This window comes from Homo sapiens, chromosome 14 (genome assembly GCF_000001405.40).
Source record: "Homo sapiens chromosome 14, GRCh38.p14 Primary Assembly".
NCBI lineage: Eukaryota > Metazoa > Chordata > Mammalia > Primates > Hominidae > Homo > Homo sapiens.
This window is the reverse complement of record NC_000014.9, coordinates 57,494,805-57,510,839: the sequence shown is the minus strand read 5'-3', so window position 1 is coordinate 57,510,839 and position 16,035 is coordinate 57,494,805. Positions and strand designations below refer to the sequence as shown.

Genomic DNA, 16,035 nt, shown 5'->3' with positions numbered 1-16,035 from the left:
ACATGACAAAAAATGTTAAAGGAACCACTTTATAAGAAAAAAGAGAAGAAAAAAAAGAGGGGAAAGGAAAATAGGGGGGAGGAGGAGCAGGAGGAGGAGAAGGAGGAGGAGGAAAGTAGCTATTAATTTCATGTTGAAGAAATCTCTCCTTGAGCCTTCTGAATTGGCTCCAGTTTGAGTTGGTTGCTCCATGCTTGGTGCATAACTGTTATCTTGGGTTTTTCTTTCATCTTCATCCTGGGGATTTCTTTTGTCTGTCTCTTATGTTGGATTACCTTTTGCTGGGTTTCAGTTTTTTACCTTTCTTCATTTACTGTCTTATTTTGGTAGGTCATATCTGCCATTACCTTCTTTAAAAAGGGTATACGAGATGTTGAGTGCCTAAAAAGATCATTGTTATATTCTCACACTAATTTATGCTGGTTTGGTTAGGTTGCAATTCCTATTCCTTTGAGTTTTTAAGACATTGCTTCATTGTCTTTGGGCTTCCAACCATCCTGTAGAGAAGTTTGGTGCTATCGTGGATCTTATTTTTGTGTTTGAAACTTGAGTTTTCTTTGAAAGATTTTGAAATCTTTTCTTTGTCCCATGTGCTCTGAAAGTTTACAGTAACTGGACTTAGTGCTTTAATCCATCGTGGCACTCAGCAGATCCTTTTAGTCTGGCAACTCATGTCCCTCAGTTCTGGCAATTTTCAAAATTATTTCTTTGATAACTTCTTCCTGTCTATTTCTGGTACTCTCTTTTCTGGAATTGCTGTTGTTTCCTATTATCCATCTCCTGCTTCTTTTTCTTTTTTTTCCAGAATTTTCTAAAATTTCTATTGAGCTTTTAAAAATTTCTCCTATATTATCTTTAATTTCTAAGAGCAGCTCTTTTACATTTCTGAATGTTCTTTTTTTTAACATAGCATCTGTATTCTTGTTTCATGGGTATAAAATATTCTCCTAGATCTTTGAAAATGTTAATAGAAGGTTGAGTTTTTTTCCCCCCAGTTTTCTTCTTCCTGCATGGCCTCCGTTTTTCCAAGCTATTGTCTCTGATGTCAGCATCTCCAGGTCTTTTCTGTTAAGTTAGCCAGAGTCCCCAGACACTTCCTGCCTCAGAGAATCTTGAGCTCTGGGGGATACTGGGGAAAGAGAACCAAAGGTCTCAGCACGCAGTATACAAACTTATAATTGATCACGCCATATTTGGTGATCAGCACCCACCTGAAATAGCTACTGATATTCCCAGGCCAGAAATACACTGTTCTGGAGAATAAACCTCTAGTCTTTCTGGAATGGGAAGGACTGTGGAAGGGTAACTAGGGTTCTAACTGCTTTTAAAAAGATTTTCAAATTCTCCTTCTGATTAGCTCTTCCTTTACTCCCACTTAATGTACCCCCACATAAGAGTGTCTTCAATTTCTAGGCCACTGAGTTATTCAGAGATGTAAAAATTGAGATGGTCCTAAGATTCTTTTGTTCTTGGCTTATGGTTTAGCTTTTTCAAGTTTGCTAAATCAATTATTGCTCATCCATCTACTTTCCAACTTGAGGTTTTCTCCTTTCCCTTTCTTACACAGATGTTTGCCTTTAAAAATATACCTTTACTGCCATCTTAGTGACTTTTCAGAAAGGAGCAGAGATAAAGGCATGTACAAAATCCACTTTTCAACTACAAGTAACCTACTATATTATTTTTAAAATGAAAACATTCAGCAAGATTCAATGATGGATTGTATATAAGAGGAAAAAAGAGAAATAAATTAGATATTATTCCAAGATTTCTAGTCTGGGTCATTAGGAAAATGTGGTATCACTTATAGAGATAGGGAAAACTGGAAAAGGAACAGATGGGATGGGATGGGAGCAGATGGTTCTGTTGCGTTTAGACATACTGAAACTAAAGTGATTGGAAATATCCCAACGGAGGCATTATGGAGACAACTGGAAATGCAGTGATGGAAGGCAGGGAATGGTGAAGGCAAGATATGTAGATTTGGAAATAGACTACATTGAGTCTATTAAGATAAGTAAGATTAGGTAAATATTAAAGAAGTGAGAGCTTAAAAAAACAGCAGGGCAAAGACTCAGCCTTGAAGAATATCAAGGAATAAGAAAAAAGAAATAGAAAGTGTTTTTACCAGGGAAAAACCCAGATATATGGTTAGAGATGAAAGATAATCAGTACTGTGTGACAATATGGAACCCCCTAATAGTGTGTGAGCTTGGGCAGCCACCAGATCAAGAAGTGGCTAAGCCCAGACAGAACCTCACAATAAAGCAGGAAGCCCACAATGGGCCATTTTAGGTTGCTGATCTCACATGTGGAGCTGGGGAATATGGACTCTAATGGGATCTGTGACACCAGTACACCAGAGTAAGGGAAAAGGACAGGTGGGATCAGAAGCCTGCAAGTCAAGGTCAGAGCAGAGACCAAGAGCTGATGGAGTCTATCCAGGTCAGTGTGATAGGGGAAGAGAGAAGAGGAGTAATTGGTGAAGATTCCAACAGGTAGATATTGGATATCTCAGAGGTACAGGTATAAGATTCAGAGACATTAGCACAGAGAAAATCAGGATAAATCAGAGGCAGAAAACGAAACAAACAAAAGCAGAAGCTTAGACAAGTGAATTCCTATGGGCAGAGGCCAGGCACCAGCAAAATTCGCTTTTGATAAGTCATAAACTGAAGTAGGATCTCATAATAGCATCCCTATCTGGGAGGGTACCTTAGTCTTAGATTTGAGCTAGACTGAGCTAAAAGGCGAAAGTCCATCTTGGTATTTATCATAGGAAAATACTTATACCTTGCACAAGAAGTGTATGCAAGGATGTTCATGGCAGCATTGTTTGCAATCAAAGAATTGAAAACAACGTTAATGTCCATCCGTAGGGGAATAATTATGTGTATCCATACTGAAATAATCCACAGCCATGCAAAAGAATGAGGTAGTGTTCAATGACTAATATGGGAAGATCTCCAATACATAATGTAGAATCGAGTGGGAAAAATGGCATGATATTATAAACTATATGAAACGGTCTATGTTTTTGAGTGGGATGAACAACAGGGAGAGAGAAAGAGACCTGCCTAATGCAGAAGTGTTCTGGAGGAGAGGGACCTGGAAGACCATTACACATCATTACATTTTGACATGTTGCATACGGCAAAGATACTGAGTCAAGAAAACTAAGAAAAGGCAAATGGATTTGGGTAGAAGAAAGTCATCTGATCTTCAGGAGAAGACTACCAGCTGAGGAGCAGAGGTGAGAAAAACATTGCAGAAGCAGGAAGATGATGGGAGATTGGTGGGAGTGGTCTCTATGCCTATAACTTGGACTTTAAAGATACAGGAATATCAAAGCTCGCACAGCCTAAAAGGTACAATGAACAATTTTTAGAGTAAGGGAGATCTGGGTATATTTGAAGTTGAAAGGGAAAAAGCCCTTGAAGAGAGATAAGTAATAGATGTCATGGAGAGGGCAGAGATAGAGGACAGTTTGTAGAATGTTAGGATTTGTAAGGAACCTCAGAGCCCACCTTGTCCCATTTTACACTTGAGTAAACTGAGGCCAGGGAAGTGTTGTGGGTAAGATCATGGTTTTGAATCCAGACTCCATGTCTTAGTAGCTTAGAAACTGCTTTGAACCACTATTTCCTCATCTTTGAAATAGGAGTGAAAGCTGACTACTTCATAGAGTTGTTAGGTTTTATTTCCATTTTTATTGTTGTTGTTAATGAACTCAAACATCTACCATGCCAGTCACTCTTCAAAGTTCTTCACAAATATTAACTCACTTAATTTTCGAAATAACTCTATGGGGTAAGAACTATTGTTATTCCCTTTTTTGGAATCCAGAAACTGAGGCTTAGAAAGACATAGTTACACAGACAGAAAGTCATGGAACCAGGATTCAAGGCAGACAGCTGACCCGAGTTCAAGTTCTTCATCACTCAGTCCACTACCTCTAATTTAGTTCATGTAAAGTACGTACATGTGGCAAATGGTGAAAAAAAAAAAAAAAAAAAAAAAAGGAACTCTGATTACTAGTTACAGAAATAGCTAGCACCAGAATGCAGGCTTCCTGGTGACCAGGTTCATTCCTTTACATTATGCTGTATTGGTCACCTTGTTCTGAGCTCTTTTGTTCTACTGGAATTAAGCTAACCCAAGTACTGCATAACACAGAGGGATCATGAGTCAACATTTGGTAGTCTTTCTGGTCATATGGAGGGTTTTTTAATTCAATTTCCCAGTTGCAACACTATTGATTCATGCATCTTATAGTAGTTCACAATGGGTATTCAAAAACAGGATACAATATGTCCAGGCCATGCTGGTGTTCCACTAGGTTCCATCCAGCTCAGAGCAGCTAGAAATCATCTTCATTTAATGGATGTGAAATGTACTGGAGCACCCTTTCACCTTCTGAGTGAGGAGGTCTCCACCTCGCCAAAAGGATATCCTCGTTAGCAGGCTCAGTACAAGGGCTGAAGATGGCAGTAAGGTCACAGGAAGCAGCGTATACTTCCAATAAATACTTACAGGAGGTCAGCGTAGCACAGACCAACCATGGAAGCATTCACCTTTCTGGGTAAGGGGCATGCCACATTCTTCATGACACAATTCCCCAGCACATATTATGGATTCTAAAGTGCAGCTTCTGCCTCCAAAGAGATTTTCTTCAAAGGAAGGGACTCAAAAGGCTTCACTTGAATCTTTACAATGTATGCAACAATAAAGATAATTATAGATTAACAGCTACAAGATACAAAATGGCCACTACTTTTCTTCTCTGTATTTGTTCCCATAATAAAACTCACGAGAAGCTTAATGAGAATTTAAGGATGTTTTTTTTCTTTATGTTATTCTAAAGATCTAGCACTGATTAGAAACCCAGGGTTCTGTCCCTGAGCATGAGGCAGAAGAGAGGGGAAGTAGGAGTAAGATATCTATTCTTCCAATAAGTACTTACAGGGGCCCATCTACAGAAGGTTCTTCATTAAATGTATGGAGGGTTGGGGTGAGAGACAGTATAAAGATGAGAGTAGTATATAATGCTATGCTTCAGGAATTATGATTTCCTACACAATCAGGCACAGATAGAGCTAGAGTTCCAGACTACTCAGAGTGCCTGAGTTCATATCCTAGTGAATACATGCTGTGTAACTCTGGGCAAATTGCTTAATCTAAGCTTCCATTTTCTTATTGTTAAAATGCGGATAATGACAGGACTGCCATCATTGCATTGTTGTAGGAATGAAACAATTACGTATTTAAAAAGTTCTGTAGAGTGCCTAGCGCATAGTTGGAGCTCACTGTATGCTATTTGTTGTTAATATTATCGTAAATAACCAAAAACAGACGAAAATCATGTTAATAATGGATATTCATAAAGGAGAAAATTAGTTCTTTGAATAGAGATACACTTTGAAGGGATCTGGCCTCGTATAAGATTGGAAATTTTATAAAACACTTGAAAAGAAAGGACAGCTATAAGTTCTCCAAAAATAAGGATTAATCTCCTCCAGCCCTGTTTCTAGACCACCACACATCCCAACCCCCCATGTCTTTGTGCTGGCCACTCTCTCAGCTCTGCGTCTGACTTTACGGACTTGCATCCATCCAAATACAAAAGCAGTCTTCCTGGAGCTTCCCTTCCACCCTGACCACACGGCTGCCTATGCCAGTTTTTCACTATTCACAGTGGATTCTCACTTAGCCTCAAAATTTTTATTTAAAACTTGCCTCTTTTAGGCAGAACTGGGCCTGCCCTTCAGGAAGAAAATAAGATCAGAAATTTGACCAAAAGTCTAGAAAAGTGTTTCTCTCTTAGAGATTATTCCATGTGCCCTTTGATGACCCAGCGAGGTTTAGAGATGAGAGAGAAAAAATATTAGGACTCTCTTGACCCAGCATTTATACGTTCCAAACTCCTGTGCTTGCCATTTAGGGCAACCACAATTATTATTATTGGTTGCATCTTGCTTTTTCAAATGAAGGGGTCCATGAACTGTTTCCCTAGACCTAGATGTCAAGGAAATGTAGTGATGGTGCAGGGAAAATGACAGGCACTCCCTCGGGGTCCCCAGGGCAGCAGCTGCAGCAATTCAGCCCTGGACCATCCCTGCATAGTTTAGACCCCAGGACACACCTGGATGTACTAGAGCAGCTCACCAGGCCTGGCGAGGGTTAACAAGAACAGTGTGTGTGAATGCCATCAAATCACTTGGTGCTTTGGGGTCTATTTTGGGGCTCAACCAGATTTGATTGCATAATAGGCCCATTTGACATAATTGGAAGTGGAAGCTGGCAGTTTCTTTGCTTGTTCGGGACCTGTGGCAGCTGGCATGAGAACCAAAGAGGGGCCCAGCATCATTTGGTGTAAATCTGAGTAAGTGCAGGAAAGGAGGGGCTGCACCTAACACTTACCAGGCCTTGGGAGGAAGGTGAGAGCAATGGCTAGTGTCCGTAGGTAAAGAGCTCTGTGCCAGCATCTCCTGTCTCATCCTCGTTGTTGCTCAACCTTTGCAGCCAGCAAGAGCCTAATTGTTATCTCCACATGTAACCTGAAAAAATAAGGTCATAAGGCCTCTACCATGGCCAGGTCTAGGGAAATGTCAAGGGAACATATGCATCCTGCTTCTTCTTCATGTCTTTGTAAAAGGCCAAGGCTGTCTGGGACCCTTTCAGCTTGGGCTGGGCACCCTGATTGTATGACCCACACCTACTTTGAAACATTGGTGTTGAGATACTTCTAGCATATTATGGTTAAGAGCACAGGCTTTGACAGTATCACCCCATGGATTACTCACTGATCGTAAAGGGGAAAAAAGTGAAGTCTTACAATGAAAGGATCAGCTGTTACCTCCTGAACCCACTGAGCAATCTTAGCATCCAGCCTCCCCACACCATGCAGTATCACGCATACAGCACCAGCTGGGTTGTAGTATTGCTAAATGACCACATCTAAGAAGCCTTTTAGAGTTAGACTACCTCCCAGTTTAAGAAAATCTAGGGACTGGAGACACAAGGTAAAAAAAATGACAGGAGGAGAACTAATCAGACCCTATATTAGTCCATTTTCACAATGCTCTAAAGAACTGCCCGAGACTGGGTAATTTACAAAGAAAAGAGGTTCAATTGACTCACAGTTCTGGATGGCTGGGGAGGCCTCAGCAAATTTACCACCATGGCGGAAGGGGAAGCAGTCACATCTTACATAGTGGCAGGTGAGAAAGAGAGTGAAGGAGGAACAGCCAAACACTTATAAAACCACCAGATCTCATGAGAACTCATTCACTATCGCGAGAACAGCGTGGGGGAAACTGCCCCCATGATTCAATTGCCTTCCACCAGGTCTCTCCCTTGACACGTGGAGATTATTACACAATCCGAGGTGAGATTTGGGTGGGTACACAGAGCCAAACCAAATCAGATGCCAAATCCACAGGATATTCCATTAGATAACAAGTTAGTGGCATGAAAAAGGTGGGAGGATTGCTTGAGATGGAAATATTTGACATTTTCAATATAACAATCCCCTCCCCCAAACAACAACAACAACAACAAAAAAGCAAAACAAAAAAACAGGCATGTGGCCTCAGGTTCATAATTTCTCTAAGCCTTATTTCCTTACCTGCAGAAAGAGAATAATGCATATTCTGCTTCAGGGTGCTATTGTGAAGATTCACTGAGAAGTGCTTGAGAGCCTTCAGCACAGTGCACGCTGCACACTAAGCACTCGTAAATGGCAGCCATTGGTATTGCCCTAGAGATCTACTGCCTAACAAGCTGTACCTGCGGAACGAGCTGCACCTGTCCTTAACAGCGTGGTCTGGTGCTGTCCTGGCCTTCCGGCTTACCACTACCAGCTTCTCTGCATAATGTTACCTAACCTATCCTATGGGAAATATCATCTCCCCAGCACACTTCCCCGTCATATACACCCTCTTCCAGAGTTAAGGCTGGAAAAGCAGCCAGAGGCCTGCTTGTGTAGGAAGATGTAAAAGCACACTTGGCAGATGCTGCCTGGTCTCCTGGGCCTTCCCACTTCAGGGCACACTGCCAGCACTCACATTTCTCCGCCTTAGGACTTTCTTTGACTATTAGGGCCTGCTCTGACCTAATGCATGTGGTTAGGAAATGCTAGGAAATTCAGACCACTCTGCCCCCTCCCTCAGCAGTTCTCAGCCAGGCACTGATAGTTGGGGGACAGCTATCCCAGTTCCCTCACTCCTCTGGTGGGATATCTTTGAAGTGTGTATTCTATAGTGTTTCCCAGAATTTTGCAGGAGAACTAAGTTCTACTCACAGTGGAACAAGCTAGAAGACACCCCTTTATCAGCCTTTTTTCTTTCCCCTGAATCACTTCCTCACCTGCTACCTCTGTCTCCTAAGATGACCTCCCAAACAAACCATTTGCACTCGAAGCTATGTCTGAGGGAACCCAAACTGAGATACCACATAAATGAGTTTGGATTTTTCCCTAAGGACAGTGGGAAGGTGTTGAAGTGCTTGTTAAACAGTGGCTAATAATGTCATTATAGAGATCCGAGCTCTGTCCTCCCCCTTTGCCTTTCCATCATCAGAGCTCAATTTTGAATCCTGTAAGAGAAGTAGGTGCTGTGTCTCATTCACCTCAGCTCCTCCCGACTTGGTGCCTGGCTCCAGAGGCTGCCTTCAGATTCTCCTCGACAGCAGCCTTTGCACCAGGAGCACAGGCAAGAAAGCTGGAGGTACCCACAGAGACCTTGGTTACATAGAGCCTAAACATCATAGCCACGTTGGCTGCAAATAATTAAATAGAAAGTAACTGTTGCTTTCTGCTTGAAGATGTCTGAAGTCTAAGTGTAAAATCCTGCTGAAGGAAAAATGCCAGTAATAGCAGGAGACATCTAGAAGGGATGAAGGTCTGAGGGAGCGTCTAGCCACTGTGAGTCCAGCACCAAGGAGACCTGCCTCCCACAGGATAACAGAGAAAGCCCTGAAAAAGACCTATGGAAGACTGTACTGCTCTAATAGAGAGACTCCTAAGCCCTCTGTCTCTCTTTGGAAGCCATGCCCATGAGCATGCTTGAAGGGACCCACAACATGCCAGGAAGAAGTAAGATCAGACAACTGGCCAAACCATTGGCGAGGCTTTGCATACTGCACTTGCATACTTCAGAAATGGCATGGGTCCAAGTTGGTATTCTTGTGGAAGGTACTTGGGGAAAATCTCCCCAGTAATACATAAGATCCCCTGACACTTCTCTCCCTTCTCCTGAGAAGTAGATGAAATAAACAGACTGAGCCCATTGTTCTGTAATTCTATTGTTCTAAAGCTAGATACCCCAAGATCTGTGTCCTTCACTAGGATGCAAATTGGTAGCAAGGAAGTAAGCCTAAGATTAGCAAATCTTTTGACTCTATCCCTTTGTTTAGCAATCATGCCGATTTGCTTTCTGTTTTTGTTTAAACAACAAAGACACGCAGAAACTTGCCCTACAGAGTTCCAAAAGAGGTCATAGAGTTAGAATTGGATGTCATCATGGTCATATAATTTCTGCCCTGAGGAAATTAAGAAATGGGGCCAGAGCAGTCATCCAACTGGCCCTGCAGAAGCTCAGCCACAGGTAACAGGAAGCCTTCACTGCTTTGCCTAGTGACCTGAGCCAGGTCTAGGGCCCTGGGTCACCTAGACAAATGTGTAATGCCAGGTAGAGGGCCAGAGCAGTGAGGGTGATATCTTGATATTGCTTGGCATTGCATTTGGTTGGAAATAAGAGGAATAAAGAAGGGATGAAAATAAAGGGAAATCTTTTGGATAGGTCTTTTTATTTGGTGTCCTCTAAATTTCATCTCAATGCAATTTTTAAAAATCTAAGTACAGACTTTCCCAGAGCAGAGAGACATCCTAATTTGGGCTGGACTCAGAGCTGCTGTGTTTTAAAACACATAATGAAAACTGAGGTTTCTGGAGCTCAGGCTCTAGCACTGGCCATGCTGGCATTTAGTTCAATGAAACCAGCTGAAGCTTCACTCTGGCCACTTTAATCCTGACCGTTGGAACACCTGATTTACCACATTCTTCTCCACCCTGGTTTTATGCTGCCTGGAAGCTGGAAGCTCGGATCTCTGCTTCTGGGTCCATAATTTAAAGGTCTCAAAGAAAAAAAAAAGAATCTAAAATTTGCTTTTAGTAAGTAAGGCATCAGTAAGAGTAGGGTGTTTTGCCCTAGGGGAAAAATGCACATTATTCTATTTAGGCCTGTATCCTGAGTGACTGTTGAGACCAGACAGAGACCATGTATTAAAGATTAAATTTCAGTGTGAATTCTTGAGACATTCACGGCTAACAGTTAAAACATAACCTTGTTTTAAGAAAGGGCAGGAAGTCAATCCTAAGCCAAAAGAACAAAGCTGGAGGCATCATGCTACCTGGCTTCAAACTATACTACAAGGCTACAGTAACCAAAACAGCATGGTACTGGTACCAAAACAGAGATATAGACCAATGGAACAGAATAGAGCCCTCAGAAATAACACCACACATCTACAACCATCTGATCTTTGACAAACCTGACAAAAACAAGAAATGGGGAAAGGATTCTCTATTTAATAAATGGTGCTGGGAAAACTGACTAGCCATATGTAGAAAGCAGAAACTGGATCCCTTCCTTACACCTTATACAAAAATTAATTCAAGATGGATCAAAGATTTAAATGTTAGACCTAAAACCATAAAAACCCTAGAAAAAAACCTAGGCAATACCATTCAGGACATAGGCATGGGCAAGGACTTCATGTCTAAAACACCAAAAGCAATGGTAACAAAAGCCAAAATTGACAAATGGGATCTAATTAAGCTAAAGAGCTTCTGCACAACAAAAGAAACTATCATCAGAGTGAACAGGCAACCTACGGAATGGGAGAAAATTTTTGCAATCTACTCATCTGACAAAGGGCTAATATCCAGAATCTGCAATGAACTCAAACAAATTTACAAGAAAATAACAAACAACCCCATCAAAAAATGGGTGAAGGATATGAACAGACACTTCTCAAAAGAAGACATTTATGCAGCCAACAGACACGTGAAAAAATGCTCATCACCACTGGCCATCAGAGAAAGCAAATCAAAACCACAATGAGATACCATCTCACACCAGTTAGAATGGCAATCATTAAAAAGTCAGGAAACAACAGGTGCCGGAGAGGATATGGAGAAATAGGAACACTTTTACACTGTTGGTGGGACTGTAAACTAGTTCAACCATTGTGGAAGACAGTGTGGCAATTCCTCAAGGATCTAGAAGTAGAAATACCATTTGACCCAGCCATCCCATTACTGGGTATATACCCCAAGGATTATAAATCATGCTGCTATAAAGACACATGCACATGTATGTTTATTGCAGCACTGTTCACAATAGCGAAGACTTGGAACCAACCCAAATATCCATCAATGATAGACTGGATTAAGAAAATGTGGCACATATACACCAGGGAATACTATGCAGCCATAAAAAAGGATGAGTTCATGTCCTTTGTAGGGACATGGATGAAGCTGGAAACCATCATTCTCAGCAAACTATTGCAAGGACAAAAAAGCAAACACTATATGTTCTCACTTTTAGGTGGGAATTGAACAATGAGAACACTTGGACACAGGAAGGGGAACATCACACACCGGGGCCTGTCATGGGGTGGGGGGATGGGGAGGGATAGCATTAGGAGATATACCTAATATAAATGACGAGTTAATGGGTGCAGCACACCAACATGGCACATGTATACATGTGTAACAAACCTGCATGTTGTGCACATGTACCCTAGAACTTAAAGTATAAAAAAAAAAAAAAGAAGGAAAGAAAGGGCAGGGAGGAAGGAAAATGATTTTCTAAAGATGCCTTCAAAAGGATTATTATGAGTGGATGTTTAAAATATGGTATATATATATACACACACACACATATATATACCATATTATATATATATACCATATATACACACACACACACATATATACCATATTATATATATATACCATATACACACACACACACACACAAACACACACACACACACAAACACACACACACACACACACACACACACACAATGGGATACTATTCAGCCTTAAAAAACAGGAAATTCTGTCATCTGCAACAATGTGAATGAACCTAGTGAAATAAGCCAGGCATAGAAAGGTAAATGCTGGCCGGGCACAGTGGCTCACACCTATAATCCCAGCAGTTTGGGAGGCCGAGGCAGGTGGATCACCTGAGGTCAGGAGTTCGAGACCAGCCTGGCCAACATGGTGAAACTCCATCTCTACTAAAAATACAAAAAATTAGCTGGACATGGTGGTGGGTGCCTGTAATCCCAGCTACTCAGGATGTTGAGGCAGGAGAATTGCTTCAATCTGGGAGGTGGACGTTGCAGTGAGTGGAAATCGCGCTACTGCACTCCAGCCTGGGCAACAAGAGCAAAACTCTATCTCAAAAAAAAAAAAGAAAGAAAGAAAGAAAGAAAGAAAGGTGAATGCCACATGATCTCACTTGTATGTGGAATCTAAAAAGTCAAATTCCCAGAAGTAGAGAGTAAAATGGTGGTTGCCAGAGGCTGGGGATGGGGAGGTGGAGTTGGGGGATTAGGCAATAGGGGGTGGGCAGGGAGAGATGAGACATCGGTCAATGGGTACAAAGTTACAGTTAGGAGGAATAGGTTCTGTGTTTTATTGCACAGCAAGGTGACTACAGTTAATAATGTACATTTCAAAATATCTAAAAGAGAAGATGTTAAGTGTTCTCACTAAGAAAACATGATAAATATTTGAGGTGATAGATATAATTACCCTGAGTTAATCATTTTCAAGGTATACATGTATCGGAACATCACACTGTACCCCATAAACATTCACAGGTATTTGTCTACTTAAAATAAAATAAAAATTTAAAAGATAAAAAGGATTATGATAACCAAAGGTTGATGTTCCTTTTAGAGATACAATATACAAATATTATTTTATCTAGGTTAAATCCATTGGCAATACATTTTAAGAAACCCACGCACTGGCTGTCTTCAGAGTAGTATAGTGTGCGAAGGCATGATTCTAGCATTTCATTCAATGATGTACTTGCAGATTGCATTCAAAGGGTAAAGAGACAAATCGTATACAACTGATCTCATGGAAGAGGTTATACAAGACGCTTCAGTTAACATTTTTTCCATTTGTTTTGCTTGAGCACTTCCAAACCCAGTAGGTCTGATTACACTGTCACCTTTACATCAATATATAAATAAATCGGGAGGAAAATAATCACTGGAAGGAAAATTAAGGTTCGGGTCATACATCAACTCTGCTTAGTTAGCATGCAAACCTATAATTCACACTGCTGCTGAAAAGCCTCCAGTGATTGCTTATCCATTACAGATCCATTGCAGAAAAAGGCTGTAACTTTATTAGAAGCCTAATTTAAGAACCTATAAACATTTAGAATTTAAGCCCCACTGACTGAATGAAGTCCAACTGTATGGAATATTTATACACATGTTGATTTAAATCCCTTCTGAAGCCTTTCCAAGAAAACCGTATGCTGAAGGATCAAAAGGCAATTTAACCAACCCGACTCCAGACTACCACCATCCAGTCCTAAGGAATATCACCTTAGCCTTTGTCACTTGCTTAATATAAAACATCCAAACGAAATTACCCACAGCTCATTAAAAAAAGAAACTCATTTATCCGATATTAGGTTGTTTAAACTTTAAGATTTACTATTCCTCAAGTGTTTGCATGGTTTTCTCTAGGTAGCTTCTCAGAACATAGTGCTACTGCAGTCATGAATTCCTGTTAGCTGGTAAGCTACTTGCAGAAAATAGATGTCTTTGTTCATCCCAGGCATTTTCCTTATCTCCAGGCAGTCATCTTACCAAGGTATGGGGAAAGAGATTGTAGATGACTCTGGGAAATCCATCAAAACTAAGGCAAGAGCTATCAAATCACAATCTGATGGAAAAAGGTAGGTAATGTTTCCACACAGGAAGGAAAGCTTCTCTCCTTATGCTGGCTCTAAATAGATATTACAGTGTAAATCAAGCTATAGGAGGTTGTAAGGAAACTTAGAGAGCACCTACTCTCTTAAGTATGATAGCAGACTCACACTTAAAGACCTGGATCTTGCCTCCCATCATTCAAGTGTAAAACTTTCTCTTATTAGAGAGCAGAAAAATCCACATATCTCATAATGAATGTGTATTGAGTTTCTATAGAACTTATATTCACTAAACAATATTCCTTAATAGTTTTGTCCCCAAGGCTAGTTAGGAGTGAACCCAGAACAAAAGCTAGGATTTTTAACTTCAAAATGAATGTATATTTTGAAATAGACATTATACTTTGCCTTCTCCTTATTGCTTGGTTCACTCTGTGTCTTGAAGGAAGGCATTTTCTACAGAAGGCAAGAAAGGTCCAAGCACCAGGAGCTTGTACACGGCTATTTCTTGGGAACTTCAAGGTCACATTGCCTGTGGAGATGCTCCAGGCTGAGGGCTTTGATTCTTCCTGGCAGAAATAGTACACTTGGCTGTGAGTTCCTGCTTCTCTCCATCTCCTCTGGGGCCTCGCCACTTTCTCTTAGTACATTTTTCTCTGGATGCTACCTTCAGCTTTAGAAAAGTTTAGCTAATCTTAAGAGTTTTATAAATTAATATTCTCATTCCATATTCATGAATTCTGACTGTTACAAATAACAGCATGTTTTATCATTTTTACACACAATAACGTATAGTCATAGTCATTCTTGAACTAGGGAGTGGTCATTATAAAGTATCACAAAGTGTTTGGGAAGTAGTCAAGGTTTTAGTTGGGTGAGAGCTTTTTAATGTTTTACAACTCTGGTAATAAGAAATTACATCTTATATCTAACTCTATCAGTGAAATTAAACTCTTTTTCTCTTTTAATAAAATTAAAATGTTTCACTATCAAATTTTAATAAAATCCTTTCAGTGTATGAATATTTTCTAATGATAATCCTTAGACATGGTGGTTTTCCCAGTTAAATTGGCCAGATGAATTTACGCTTCCCTCGTTGGTCTTTTCTATACCTAGGGGCAAACTCCTTTAGACAGGAATATGTCTATTTTAATTTCTGACCAACTGGCAATAAAGACTATCCTATGTACATGTAGATATGTAGCAATACTTCCTCAGAGGAGGAGGATACTGGCTAATGATTACTGTGAGCTTACTACATGCCAGGTATTAGTCTAAGAGCTATAAATGGAATCAGGTTCATTTCCCACAAAGTATTGTTATTAACCCCATTTCACAGATCAGGAAAGTCACAAAGCTTGATAGTCACTAGTAATGAAAAGAGAAAGAAGCACAGAAATGCATCTTTATTTCTTTAATTATTCCTTCAACAACTAACCAATTTCCTCAACAAAGGCTCATGTTCTCCACAAATATTGTCTGAAAATTAAATAATAATAAAACAAAACATAAGAGCTGAATCCCTCTTACTGGTCCAGATCCATGAAGTCCACAGTTTTCAGTACAATGTCTAGTTCATTTGTTAGTTCGCAATACATTCCCCTGCCCTTAGAAATACTTAAACTGATTGTACTAAAAAATAAATCTTACTAGACCTTACTCAAGTATTATTATCCTTGTAATTAAGCTAGTCTGTTTACCAGAGGCTGTTGTGTTTGCAGATACTGTTAATATATTAGTCTTTACTTATAAACCTCTCTGCTGCAGAGAAAATGATGTGGAAAATGCAAAGAGAGTAAGGAAAAAACTAAATTCAGGCATCTTTTTAGATAAACGTGATTGTCTACCAAGACTTTCCAAACATCACCTTAGTCCCTTAGGAAATGGATTCTGCAAAGATGAAAAATAAATTTTCTTTTAATTTCTTTATGGAGATGTGATGAAAACACAAGTAATCTGTGCTCATGAACAATTAGAGCTTGAAAGTTAGTCCCACTTCTAAGTATAAAGAATAAAATAAAAATCACCCATAATCCCACCATTCAAAAATCACTACTCAATATTT

The 16,035-nt window shown here is 40.2% G+C and overlaps 1 long non-coding RNA gene across 1 annotated transcript in view; it reads right to left on the bottom strand.

Moving 5' to 3' along the window:
- LOC105370519 (uncharacterized) overlaps positions 1 to 16,035 on the bottom strand; it is an 87,246-nt gene that overhangs the window by 67,441 nt on the left and 3,770 nt on the right. The gene's annotated exons all lie outside the window — the stretch shown is intronic.